The 13,552-nt window shown below is 35.1% G+C and overlaps 1 protein-coding gene across 3 annotated transcripts in view, besides 1 other annotated feature; it reads right to left on the bottom strand.

Annotated features, from left to right (window-relative positions):
- The window catches only part of HTR2C (5-hydroxytryptamine receptor 2C), a 325,976-nt gene that overhangs the window by 208,661 nt on the left and 103,763 nt on the right, over positions 1–13,552 (bottom strand). The window lies entirely within an intron of this gene.
- Positions 375–876: an enhancer, noted in NCBI's record as "H3K4me1 hESC enhancer chrX:113934941-113935442 (GRCh37/hg19 assembly coordinates)". NCBI's record gives its function as "activates a minimal SCP1, AML or CMV promoter by ChIP-STARR-seq in naive H9 embryonic stem cells {active_cell/tissue: H9 hESC(naive)}" and the evidence as "EXISTENCE:reporter gene assay evidence [ECO:0000049][PMID:30033119]".

Raw genomic sequence — 13,552 nt, 5'->3', positions numbered from 1 at the left:
AACCGTGAATGCTGCTGTCTGATTGTTCCTCTGGAAGTTTTGTCTCAGAGGAGTACCCGGCCATGTGAGGTGTCAGTCTGCCCCTACTTGGGGGTGCCTCCCAGTTAGGCTGTTCGGGGGTCAGGTGTCAGGGACCCACTTGAGGAGGCAGTCTGCCCGTTCTCAGATCTCCAGCTGCGTGCTGGGAGAACCACTGCTCTCTCCAAAACTGTCAGACAGTGACATTTAAGTCTGCAGAGGTTACTGCTGTCTTTTTGTTTGTCTGTGCCCTGCCCCCAGGGGTGGAGCCTACAGAGTCAGGCAGGCCTCCTTGAGCTGTGGTGGGTTCCACCCAGTTCGAGCTTCCCGGCTGCTTTGTTTACCTAAGCAAGCCTGGGCAATGGCGGTCGCCCCTCCCCCAGCCTCGCTGCCACCTTGCAGTTTTATCTCAGACTGCTGTCCTAGCAATCAGCAAGACTCCGTGGGCGTAGGACCCTCCGAGCCAGGTGCGGGATATAATCTCCTGGTGCGCTGTTTTTTAAGCCCGTCGGAAAAGCGCAGTATTGGGGTGGGAGTGACCCGATTTTCCAGGTGCCGTCTGTCACCCCTTTCTTTGACTAGGAAAAGGAACTCCCTGACCCCTTGGGCTTCCCGAGTGAGGCAATGCCTCGCCGTGCTTCGGCTCGCGCACAGTGCGCTGCACCCACTGTCCTGCGCCCATTGTCTGGCACTCCCTAGTGAGATTAACCTGATACCTCAGATGGAAATGAGGAAATCACCTGTCTTCTGCGTTGCTCAGGCTGGGAGCTGTAGACTGGAGCTGTTCCTATTTGGCCATCTTGGTTGCCAGACCTTTTTTCATTCTTAAGTCTTGAAATGAACATAAAATAATCAAATACCTGGGTCATTTTTACTTTTAAGTTCAGAAAAATCAGGGAAGTAGATGTGGGTAAAATGAGCATGTCCAATTCATTTAAAGCCATTATATTGATTCAGATCCCATCAGCAAAACATCCTTGAGGCTTCTCTTTCTGCAGGGTAGTTATTATTCAATAAAATAACAATAATAAAATGAAGAGCCAGTGAATTAGGGAAGGTGCATTATCTCCATCAAACTTTAGAACATGATATAATGATTTTTTAATGGAGGTCATACATTTTGTAAGTTAAATTAATATTTTTATTAAGATAGGTGGAATTATGTGCCTTCACATCTATTCATAATGATTTTGAGTGGTATGTGAGCCCTATTTACAGTTAGGCATCATTCATATTCTACTTTAAGGGATAACTCAATGCTTCATTACACTAATTATGTTATTACAGAAGAAAAAGAACATGAATGAGTACAAAATCACCTGCCAATACAAACTGCTAGAATGAAATGAAGAGATCTATTTATTACGCTCATATTTTCTTTCAAATCTATACACTAATGCCATCCTTGCCAAAAATTTATAACTTAATCAAAAGAAATGCAATAGGCTAATATCTGTGGTAGCAACTTTTGATGTTAATGAGTAAACTGGCAGTCATATAAAATCATATGATCATAAGAAATACAGATGCAAGAAAGAACACATTGCCTAGCAGCTTGATATTTCTTCTCCTCTTCCATAAAAATTATAGCTATGGAAAGGTTTTTCAAAATCAACATTATCATTGTGAAGTTGTGGAGGTAGACTTTCAAAGTATAACTATGTGTGGTTGCTTTCCATTGAAGTGGCAGTAACATGAATGCCCATTAGCCATAGCACTCTCTGAGGAAAAGCTCACATGAACCTACAGGTTAGCAAGGTCTCTAACAAAATACACTTAATGAGGAATAAAGAAAATAATTCATGCTGATATTCATCATTAATTTATTGAATAAACCTTAACTGAGGGCCTTCCGTGTGTCAGGCATTGTGCTAGGTGCTGGTGACATGGTATTAGGCAAAATTGACACAATCCTTTTTGTATGAAGCATAAAGGCCTTATAGAAATAATTACACCAATTCCATATTGTTGGAGGTTATGATCAGTGCTAAGAAGGGAAGGGGCAGGAAGCTATGGAAAGTTTAATTTTGATTGGTTGGTCAAATGTGGTTTCTTCAAGAAGTTAACAATTAACTGGAACCTGAAAGATTCATGCTGTGCCAATTTTTCATTAGGCTACAGCGTTATTGGAAAAAAGAGCTGTGTTTCAGTCTCAAGTTTGGTAGATGCAAAGCTATAGTTGTGTGATGAGTATATTAAAAAGTCATAGCTTAAAGCAAAATATCTATAAAAATATTTCTAAAAGAAAATTTGGAGGACATTAAACAAACTATACCACATTAATATTTGTTTTATTGTTGAACAATCACAAGAATTGTGACTGGGGCAGAATTCTAATACTATATATAGAGACTCCCCTCTGTGGCCACTTTTAATTTCAGGCAACACAGATTTTAAAGCTGCCGTCGAGTGACTATCACAATAACTACTATTAGTGATCATTTATACTGGTGAACATTGTGGTGGGTTTTACACAGAATAAAATGCTCCTACCTGGATGGAAAAAGCTATGTGAGTACCAATTGAATTCCTAAGCCTCTTTTTTCGCATTGAAACTAAATTTAAGTGCACATGACAAAGACACTAATGTGAAAAGGAGAATGGGATGAATTAGTATTAAAAAGAACATATAACTCACTTCAGATGTTATCTTAATCCCAATTTTGATAGTTCAGTTTTGTAGAACATCAAAATTACAAATGGGTTTCCAAAAAGTGAAACAAAAGTGACTGCCTTTTCCAATCTGGTTAAAACAAAACAAAATGCATTAGTAGGTTTGGTCATAAATTTTTTAAGTTAAATTAATATTTTCCTTTAATGAAATACAAGACATTTGAAAATAACATTTATTGCACAAAGTAAAAATAAGTACTCTTTGGTGAAACATTTCTCTGTGTGTGTGCGTGTTTGTGTGTGTGTGTGTTTGTGTGTGTGTGTGTGTGTTTGTGCCTGTGTTCTGGATTGCACAGAACAACGCATTTCAATGCTATGGATAGCAGTCAAAAAAATTGAAGGGTACTGGAAGTCTTTCCATGATAACGGAACTTTTTCTACCATGCTAACCCAAGTTCTCTTACCTGTAAATATGAGATATCACTCCTGTGAGCATGTTGGCTTATATGGTGGCAAAAAGACTTATCCAAGTGGAGTTATTCTCATCCTATTAACATTTTAAAAGCAGATAATGTTCTCTGGCTTATAAGTGAAAGGGGTGTCCAAGTGAAGCATGAAAAAGCTTCTACATGCAGTCGCTGGCTTTGACCATGGAAAGGGCCTCGTTAGAAGAAATGTGGGTTGCCTGTAGGAGCAGAGCATGGCCCCTGGCTGATAGCCAGCAAGGAAGCAGGGACCTCAGTCCTACAACCCTAAAGAACTGAGTCCGCTATTGACTTGAATTAGCATGAAAGCAGATTTTTTCCAGAGCCTCTAGATAAGAGCTGGGCCCAGCTGGCACCTAGACTTCATCCTTGTGAGACATTAAACAGAGAACCCAGATGAGGTCCCTGGACTTCTGACTTACAGAACAGTGAGCTAACAAATGGGTATTGTTTTAAGCTACTAGGTTTTTTTGGCAATTTGTTACACAGCAGTAGAAAACTAATACTGTTAGTCAATACAGTTAATGTAAGAGGTACAAGAAGAAGTAATGAGGATGATAGCTTAAGCAAAAAGTACAGTCTCAGCCAAATGATTCGTAGAGAACAGGGGTGAAGAACAGAAGAATTGCAGGATGTAGCAGGTGAAAGCCTGGCCTTTTTGTTAGGTAAAACTGTTTCTTCCCTATCAAAGAGAATGGATTTGAGGAAATGTCTACATTTTATTTATTTTTTTCTCATATTCTCCTAAATAAATACGGAAGATTCAGGCTTAGAATTTTCTAAAGTTATGTTCTGAAGGACAAAGAAGTTTGGGAAAGAATCAGAAGTTGCACTTCACCACAATCCATCTTAATAGAAAAACTTTATTGGATTTGAACAAGTCTGAATAGAAATTGAATTAAATTTATGCCAAAAAAGCGGAAGATACTTTGTTTGGATTAATATGAACTAATAAGTCAAGTGATCAAATCAATGCATTGCTAGATTGGTGGCACAAGAGAAAAAGGAAACATTGGAAAGCTCTGCTTGCATAATATACACAATCAATCAAAACACTGATGGATCAAAAGCAGATAAATGGGAAATTTATTCCATAATGTACAGATTGAAATTCCTCTGAGACTTTGGCTAACAAATATTACCTACTTAAGGAAAGCTTCTCAGAAATTAAAACCCAGAGCTGTCAGATCATGGAAAGGAAATTTCTGAATAGGCTGTAATTGTTATTGAAACACTGAGGCAATTAAAATCTTAAATTCGAGAAAAGGCAAAGAGCTGATGGCTTCCCAGGAGAAAGCTATAAAACTTTAAGTATCTCCTGTGCTCTAAACTGTTCAAAGGACTGGCAGGATTATTATGTTTTTAAATCCTTTCCCTGCAGTGTAACCTCACAGAAATCCATTAATAAGCAACTACTATGAGCATTATTTTCTTTGCTTTAAGATTTATGCGATAAAGAGGTAAATGCTAGGCCCACAGAGAATTAATAATAGAAAAAAAATAGAAGAAAGATGAGCAATAAGTATCATTAACATCGTATAGTTTGATCAAAGATTATCAAATTCTTTTCCCTCCTGTTGCCCTGTAAATCCTTAATAGAGTCCAGCAAACAATGAAAATAAAACGACTTTCAACTCGATAAATGAAAAAAGAAAAAAAAAAACCTGTTATCTGTGTACTTTAATTCAGCTTTGCTCCTACTTCTATTACTGTCCATCTTTGTGGAGTTTTTTGACTGAAGAAAAACATTGTTTCTAGAGTTTCTAATCTTATTTTCTACACTCAAATATTACACGTAACTGCTACACTTAATTTCGTGATTTTAAGTAGCACATATAAGACTTCCCTTTGTTCTTCCACATATTCTTTTTCGTTTCTCGGTAAATTTGAAGCATCATCTCAGTACATGCTATTGATTATATACAGATTTTGTTTGCAAGTAGAGGTGGAAGGAAGAAGGTAAAACAGATATAGGCATAGCCTAAAAGTCACTATATTGCCAAAGATGAAGGGTGACGTGACTGTTGTAGTTAATAAAAGATACCAGTGAATCAAACTTTACTGCAGCCTTTGGAGGATAGATATAAGTTCATTTTTTCCTGGTATGCTTAATGTATGGTCTTGCTTGAAGTCAGAGAAAAGTACCGATGCCTATATAATGCTGTTCAATAATATATAAAGCATGCTCATTTATAGGACTTTGAGGAATTGACTAATATATTGAAAGCATGCTACTTGAACAAAACTGTCTCATTAGTGACATTCATTTGTTTCCTAGTGTGATTATGTGATTCCTGTTGTTAATGAAAAAGAAATCTTGCTAAATCCAATCTTAAATTATACTTAAATAGGGACAATGACATTAAGCCTCACTGCAACTCATCATCATTATTATAATTGTGCATTTATATAGCATTTCATATTTGCAATGTGCAGGATAAATGACCCCATAATAACTCTCCTACTGAGTTTGGAGGGTCAGGGTGAGCATATAACTGTATTGTTCAATTAACTGAGTGAAAAGCTCACAAAACCTCATAGGAATTATTTGCTCACTGTAGCTACTATTTGCACAGTGTTGGTGGTTCCCAGCTAGTGTTTACTACTGAATGGGAAAATATTTAAATTATTGTTTATAAAATTCTGCTATTAAAAAATTCATGGCTCTTCAAAAGATTTCAGTGAATAAATATCATGGTGCTAGGAATTATATAATACAATATGTTTAAATAATTTTTTTGTGTTTATTAAAATGAACTTGTAAGGATAAAGGAAGACAATCATGATGACATTGAAGATAAATTTGAAACAGAGCCTTATAACAGAGGGTCGATTATTTAGTAAAAGCAGATATTTAGCTTAAGAAAGCCAAAGAGCATTCTTCCTATTTGTTGTTTCTTGTCTCTACTCATGCACAACCAAACATATTTTAAACCTTCCAATCCTAGTCTTAGCTAAAAAGTCTGAATCTATAGTATCAAAAACAAAACAAGAAAACCCAACGCTATGTTTTTGTTCCCATATCATACAATCATTGGGATATCTTCTGTTTCGAGGTTCATTTTAGGGTCTCTAACAAAATGAAAGAATCATATCTATTTAAAATTTCTTCATCAAATAATACTTATTGTTCTTAAAAGCATACCAAATTTCTACAAGCCTTAATAAGTTAGGTAATCGGTTTGCGTGACAAATTTCCCTAAGGGGATGAGTCTGTAGTCACCACATTCTTATTTTTAAAAGGCCAGAAATTATAATCTTGCTTGTCATGAGAAAGCCTAAAGGGAGGCAAATTGTCAATAACTCTTGCCCCTTGATTTTAAAGTTTCAATGGTAAACTGTGAAAATAGCTGAAAATATTAAAATAAAAAATAAAGCTTTTCTACTTCTTTGCAACCCTCCAATATCAAAATATAGCAGTGATTTTTAGATTATTGGTTAGAAATACAGAGGACATTGTGCTACTAGTGAGGTTTGAAATAGATTGTTGTGCCCAGGCATGGTGGCTCACGCCTGTAATCCCAGCACTTTGGGAGGCTGAGGTGGGCCAGATCACCTGAGGTCAGGAGCTCGAGACCAGCCTGGCCAACATGACGAAGCCCCATCTCTACTAAAAATACAAAAATTAGCCCATCATGGTGGCGGGAGCCTGTAATCCCAGCTACTCTACTCAGGAGGCTGAGGCAGGAGAATCGTTTGAACCTGGAGGCGGAGGTTGCAGTAAGCCGAGATTGTACCTCTGCACTCCAGCCCGGGCAAAAAGAATGAGACTCTGTCTAAATCTGTGTGTGTATATATATATATATATATATATATATATATATATATATATATATATATATATATATATTTAGTTGAGGAATAGAATGAACAGAGTTTGGAATACATATAATCCATGGTTTCATAACGCACAAGTAGATGGAATGTATTTTGGGTGTTCGAAATATTAATTGTAATAACAAAATAAAAAAGAAATTCTATGTAAAATACCTGAATTTCACCATGTGAAAATTACTAATAAATGGAAGCCATGAAAAAATTTATGGAATAAAATTTATTCTTCCTCATGCTTTCAAGAGTGAAGGAAAATAAACAGTTTCATTAATTATCTTACTTTTTTCCTTTAGATGAGCAATATTATTTTCCCAGGGAAAAGCTAAGTGGGGCAATTCTAAAATCTGAGGCAGTTCCAAAGATATTAATTGTTTATACCTTAAAACTGTCAGGAAAAACATAGTAAAGTTTGATAATTACTATCATGTTTGACACTAAATGATACTTTTTCTAGAGTTTTGTTTGGTCATGCCATTATTTGTCTATTTTTTCATAGGTAGAGAGACTTCAGCCATAAGGCATTGCAAACTACCCAAAAGAACAATGTGCTTCCATTATGTTTTCTCTCTTCTCATTGTTCCATTTATTTTTCTACGTATCTCCACATTAGATCATAATCCCTGTTCTTCCCATGACGTTCATTTTGTGGCTATCATTTGTGTCGGGTGACTGTACTTTCTTTTCTAAACTTCTCCTTCACTACAACTGAAATATTTATGCTCTAGGTCAGTGGTTCTCAACCAGGGGTGATTTTATCCCTGAGGAGATATTTGAAGATGTCTGGAGTCATTAATGCCGTTCATAATTGGAAAATTGTGGCTACTGGCATCTAGTGGGTGAATGTCAGAAATGCTGCAAAACAACCTGCAGTGCACAGGACAACCCTCCACAACAAAGAAACATTTGGCCCAAAATGTCAATAGTGCCAAGGATGAGAAACCCTGGTCTAGCTATACCTTGTCCATGACTTAATCTCTTTTTATTTATCATAACTCTTTACTGAGGTGTCTATATCCAATTATGTAAGTTTCACATAGATCTTTGTAATCTACTTCCTATTATCTTTTAAAAGACAGGAAGTCCTGGGATGTTCTACACAGAGCTCTTATACTGGTCATCTGAAGCTATTTTATAATCCTTGATATGGAGTAATATGGAGACACTTCTTTTCTCTCCATACTTCCCTTATCCTTCTTCCGTATCTCTTTCCTCTGTCCATTCTTTGCATTTTCCTTTCTCTATCCCTTCCTTTATTGCTCTATCTTACCTAACAAACATAAAAAACTGAAACATGCTGTTTTTGTTTGACATATATATTGAAATATTTATATGCTTGATATTAAACAGTTACTTGAGGGAATATTGTATTATTTATCTGTAATAACATAAAAAAACTGGTTGCTATCTACTATGCTATCCTTGACAGAAAGAAGTCATCTCTCCTATCTCTGAACTCCTTTCAGCTGTTTCACGTGGTTTCATTCCCAAGCTTCTTTTCATACTCTTCCTTGTATTATACTGCTTTTATGCTCCAAAGTCCTCATACAGTGCTTTGTACATAGTAGGCACTCAAGAAATACTTGTTGAATAAACTTTCTGTGAGCCATTGGCTTTCAAAGAAAAAAAGCAAGCTGTGTATTTTGAGATGGAAATGGGCTAACGTTTGGTATGTTAATTCATTTTTTCAAATTTATCTTGTAGGCAGCATTTCTGCTGATTATCTTCTTTAGTCACAATACTTATTCTTATAATACCTATATTGCTGAGCACTTAAAAAGTTATTTTAACATGAGAGAAAAGTTTTACCAAAAGTTTATAGTATATTCAAATCACCCCATACAGTAATAGATCTCAAAAGTAGTGGCAAAAAAAAATGTAAAGAATATATATATTCAGATACTGACTTGGTTCATGATGCTGAAGTCACATGCCTCTAGTTAATAAATGTATACATAAAAAAGATCTTACAATGAATACTTAAATCTTCTAATTATATGTTATAAGGTAAAGCTACTTAATTACATAAAGCTATTTATTTTTTAAAAAAGAAAAAGTTAAGCATAAATATCCTCTTGGAAATGTTCACAAGAACTGGCATTGTCCATGTCGTTGACTGTAGAACTCACTAATTGTCTTATATTAGGCAATAAATTACTTGAAGTCTTATTATGAAATGAGTGGGCAGGAATAAGTATTTCTGAAATGCTTTACTTTCTTTTTGGCTGGAAAGTGATAATGTTCAGTAATGATATCTGGTGACTATTAAAATTATATTCTTCTTGAAGTAAAACATATAACCTGAAACATCACATTTTAGAGATGAGCAAAATGCTTTTTCTGGGATTGTCTAATAGTCAAACTAAATACTTCTGAAGTATAAAAATTCTTCTGAAGAGAAAAATTGATAGTCACTTCTCCTGAGAGGAATACTTTCTCTATGAAAATGAAGATAAAAATTTAGGAGAAATGTAATATTTATTTTTTAGGAAAGATTCAGAATCTTCCCTTAGCAGGAAAATAAAGCCTGAAAATAGTTTGGCTGTGGTATTTTCTCTCCTAAGGTTTCAAAAATTCCAAGCTAGTAGTAATTGTATCAAGAAGATATATAGACGTTATTTTTTTTCTAAGAAGCAGTGGCCATCTGGGATGAACACATTTTATGAAGAAATCTATTCATTTGTATAAATATACTTGTAATTTGTATTAAACATTCAAAGACACCAAATATAATTGATCAAGTGAATCCGAACTATGTCTCTAACTATCAGCGTAGATATTTGTCAGTAAATTCCCTAAGACAGGACCTGGCAAAAAGTAGGAGTTCAGTAAATATCTATTGAATGAAGAAACTATTGAGTAGTTAAGACATTGTAGAGAATATACACAGAATTAAGATAGCATGTATGGTAGAGAATATAATCAAAAAGAAAATTCAAATAATTGTTTAAAAACTTGCTTTGTCAAAGATAGAGAGTCAACAAAAAAGCAAGTGTTATATGATAAACAGGTAAACTTTGGTTTCATACAGAAATCCTTTCTAAATTGCATCTCTCATTAGTCTGTAACAGAGCAAAATAAGCTTGACTTCTATGATAAGTGGGCTTCATCACTAATATTGTTCTGTAACCTCTAACACTTAGCATCGGGCAGTTGATAATGTGATTTTCATTTTACCCTAGTCCTGTATATGCCCATTTCTAGCTCACAAACACTTGTTTGCCATTGACTTCTGTATAATTAGTATTTCACTACTAAGAAAAATTCTCAAGGGAACCAAAGAAGCAAGTAATCTAGTATTCATTTTAAAGAAAAGTCCTGTCTTTCTCACTGTATGACTTTGTTCTACAAGACACTCAATCATTTTTACCTTCAATTGCTTCTTCTATAAAATGGAATTAGTAAGAGTTGAGGATTTTTATAAGGATTGAGAATGATAAAAATTAAGATAATTATTATAATCAATATGATTGTGATGCTAAAGTAAAAGTATTGATATCCATGGAAGGAATATATGTTTAATGACCCAACTCTTTCTCATCCATAAATAGGATGCGATGCAGTGTCAAAAAAGGAATCAACCTAGGGTATAAGTCATATGTTTTCCATGACACGATAAATGTATTAAATCAGTCTCAAATTTTTTCTAGTATTGTCTTTAAATGAATCAAGCAAAACATTGCATGCTTATTGTTTTTAATCCGTATTGAGTTCTATTTTTATAACATTCATCTCAAGCTGATACTCAACTAATATAAAGGAGAGCACCTGCCCTATTATCCCAGAATCAATGATTTTCTATTTAGTTACTAATTTGCTCATTATGGTATAAAGAAATCCTTTATGGTTCATCTATTTTTTTGTGAGCTACTTCCTAAAATGCAGGCTTTCAGTTAAAATTTCTTCATTGTATTCTATTTTCTATGTACAATTTTATTGTTAGAGTTGAATGAAAAATGAGAGAAGAAAATGATACTGAAAAAGAAACATCTTGAAGGGTATAGAGGCAGATGAAAAACAGTCAAATATCAAAATAATGTAGTGTTAGTTTTAGTTTCTTTTCAAAAGTATTCTGGAGAAGAAAAGAAACAATAAAAGGAAAACTATCACATATTAAATGAAAGGTACTGTGCTAGGAAGAACTTCTGCATGTTAGCATATTTAATTCTTGCCCCCTACTTGGAGAGGAGGAAATGGCTGGGTTGCAAGCTGGAAGTTCTTAACCAGATATACATCTGCATCTCCCAAAAGTCAAGAACTGTCACTATCATCGTTATTGCTCTGAGGATAAAGGCTGACTTTCTGGGGTGCTGCTCAGATGTGTTGACCAAAATAATTCCTCACTCAGGAAACAGACTTTTCAAATTAGTGATAGACGTGACAGATGCTTTAGTTGGAGATGCTGCTGAAAGTTTCAGCATTGCTGTTCCTATTATTTGAATTGAAAAAATGAAGTGTGTCTCCAGAGCTGTCAAATTGATACCTTTTATAAATAATGAGTTCAAAAAAATGAGTTATGAATTATCTCACAAATGACAGCCAATGATCCCAGCAATAACTGCAAACTTAATTTCACTTTAAAAAGTACTGCATCACAAACCAAATTTAATCTACCATATTATAGTTCTACTTTAACTATTAAGTTACTGACTTAGGAACATTAAATGTTGTATTAAAATTATAATAAATGTTAGTTTATAGTTTACCATCTTTACATTGATTGGTTATAATGAGTCATTTCACTACTACAAATCCTATACTCACTTTCATTTGGAGGAAGTGATGCTGTCTTTGAAGTCACACAGAAATGGTTGTCTGGCATATGAAAAAAAATGCTTAACATCACCAATTATCAGGGAAATGCAAATCAAAACCACAATGCGATACCATCTTACTCTTGTAAGAATGGTCAGAGTTAAAACATAAAAAAAAAATAGATGTTGGTGTGGATGTGGTGAAAAGGGAACACTTTTACACTGTCAGTGGAAGTGTAAACTAGTACGACCACTATGGAAAACAGTACGGAGATTCCTTAAAGAACTGAAAGTAGAACTACTATTTGATCCAGCAATTCCACTACTGGGTATCTATGCAGAGGAAAATAAGTCATTATATGAATAAGACACTTGCACACACATGTTTATAGCAGCACAATTTGCAATTGCAAAAATATGGAAGCAGCCTAAATGCCCATCAAGCAATGAGTGGATAAAGAAAATGTGATATATATATATATATATATATACGCATACATACCATGGAATACTACTCAGCCATAAAAAGGAATGAAATAATGGCATTCACAGCAACCTAGATGAAGTTGGAGACCATTATTCTAAGTGAAGTAACTCAGGAATGGAAAACCAAACATTGTATGTTCTCACTTATAAGTGAGAGCTAAGGTATGAGGATGCAAAAGTCATAAGGATGATATAATGGACTCTGGGGACTCGAGGGGAAGGGTTACAGGGGCACGAGGAATAAAAGTCTACACATTGAGTGCAACATACACTGCTTGGGTGATGGGTGCATCAAAATCTCAGAAATCACCAGTAAAGAACTTATCTATGTAACTAAAAACCACCTGTACCCAGAAAATGTTGAAATAATAATAATAAAAGAAATGGTGGTCTGGAACACCACAGCTATGCAAATTTTCTCAGTTTTCTCTTTAATGCTAGGCCCTGGCCAGCCAAATTGTACTAACTCTGTTCAGTCTGATTTGTTAAACAAAACGCCTATTTACTTACTAGCTTATAGAAAGAAAATGTAAGCAGATGTACAGACTCAATTCGCATCTACATTTCTATGACTAGGAATAAAAATCTGTTAAAATTAGAATTCACCTTATCAACCATTAAGAAATGAATGATAAAATAGTTTTCTAATCCCAGGTAGCAAAAGTACTACATGTATAATTCAGCTGAACCAAGTGAACTACTTATTAAACCTGACAAATTATAAGACGATTTTTAAATTATGTCATGGTTGCTTATGTATGTTTATCATTAATAAAAATTCATTTTTCTACATAGTGGTGTGCGCTGTAGGACAATTGCTACAGCATTGGAGTAGCACTTGTTCCCAGATGCATGTGAATTTCTTTTCTTTTCTTTTCTTTTTTTTTTTTTTTGAGATGGAGTCTCATTCTGTCACCCAGGCTGGAGTGCAGTGGCATGATCTCGGCTCACTGCAACCCCTGCCTCCCAGGTTCAAGCGATTCTATTGCCTCAGCCTCGCTAGTAGCTGGGATTACAGGCAGGTGCCACCACACTCGGCTAATTTTTGTATTTTTAGTAGAGACAGGGTTTCACCATGTTGGCCAGACTGGTCTCAAACTCCTGACCTCAGGTGATCAACCTGCCTCAGCCTCCCAAAGTGCTAGGATTATAGGCATGAGCCACCGTGCTCGGCCGTGAATGTCAATTCCAGGTTTGTTTTTTGTCTTTAAAAAAGTGCCATGCTTTATGAAGCAAATGGAAATTCCTCTGAGACGTTGGATAACAAATATTACCTACTTAAGGAAAGTTTCAACATTTATGACCGTTTTAATATTTATAACCATTCTACAGAAAACTTTAATGAAGATCAGGAGCATAGTAGAA

Source organism: Homo sapiens, chromosome X (genome assembly GCF_000001405.40).
Source record: "Homo sapiens chromosome X, GRCh38.p14 Primary Assembly".
Taxonomy (NCBI): domain Eukaryota; kingdom Metazoa; phylum Chordata; class Mammalia; order Primates; family Hominidae; genus Homo; species Homo sapiens.
Note: the sequence above shows the minus strand (reverse complement) of the source record. Positions and strands in the feature narration are given on the sequence as shown.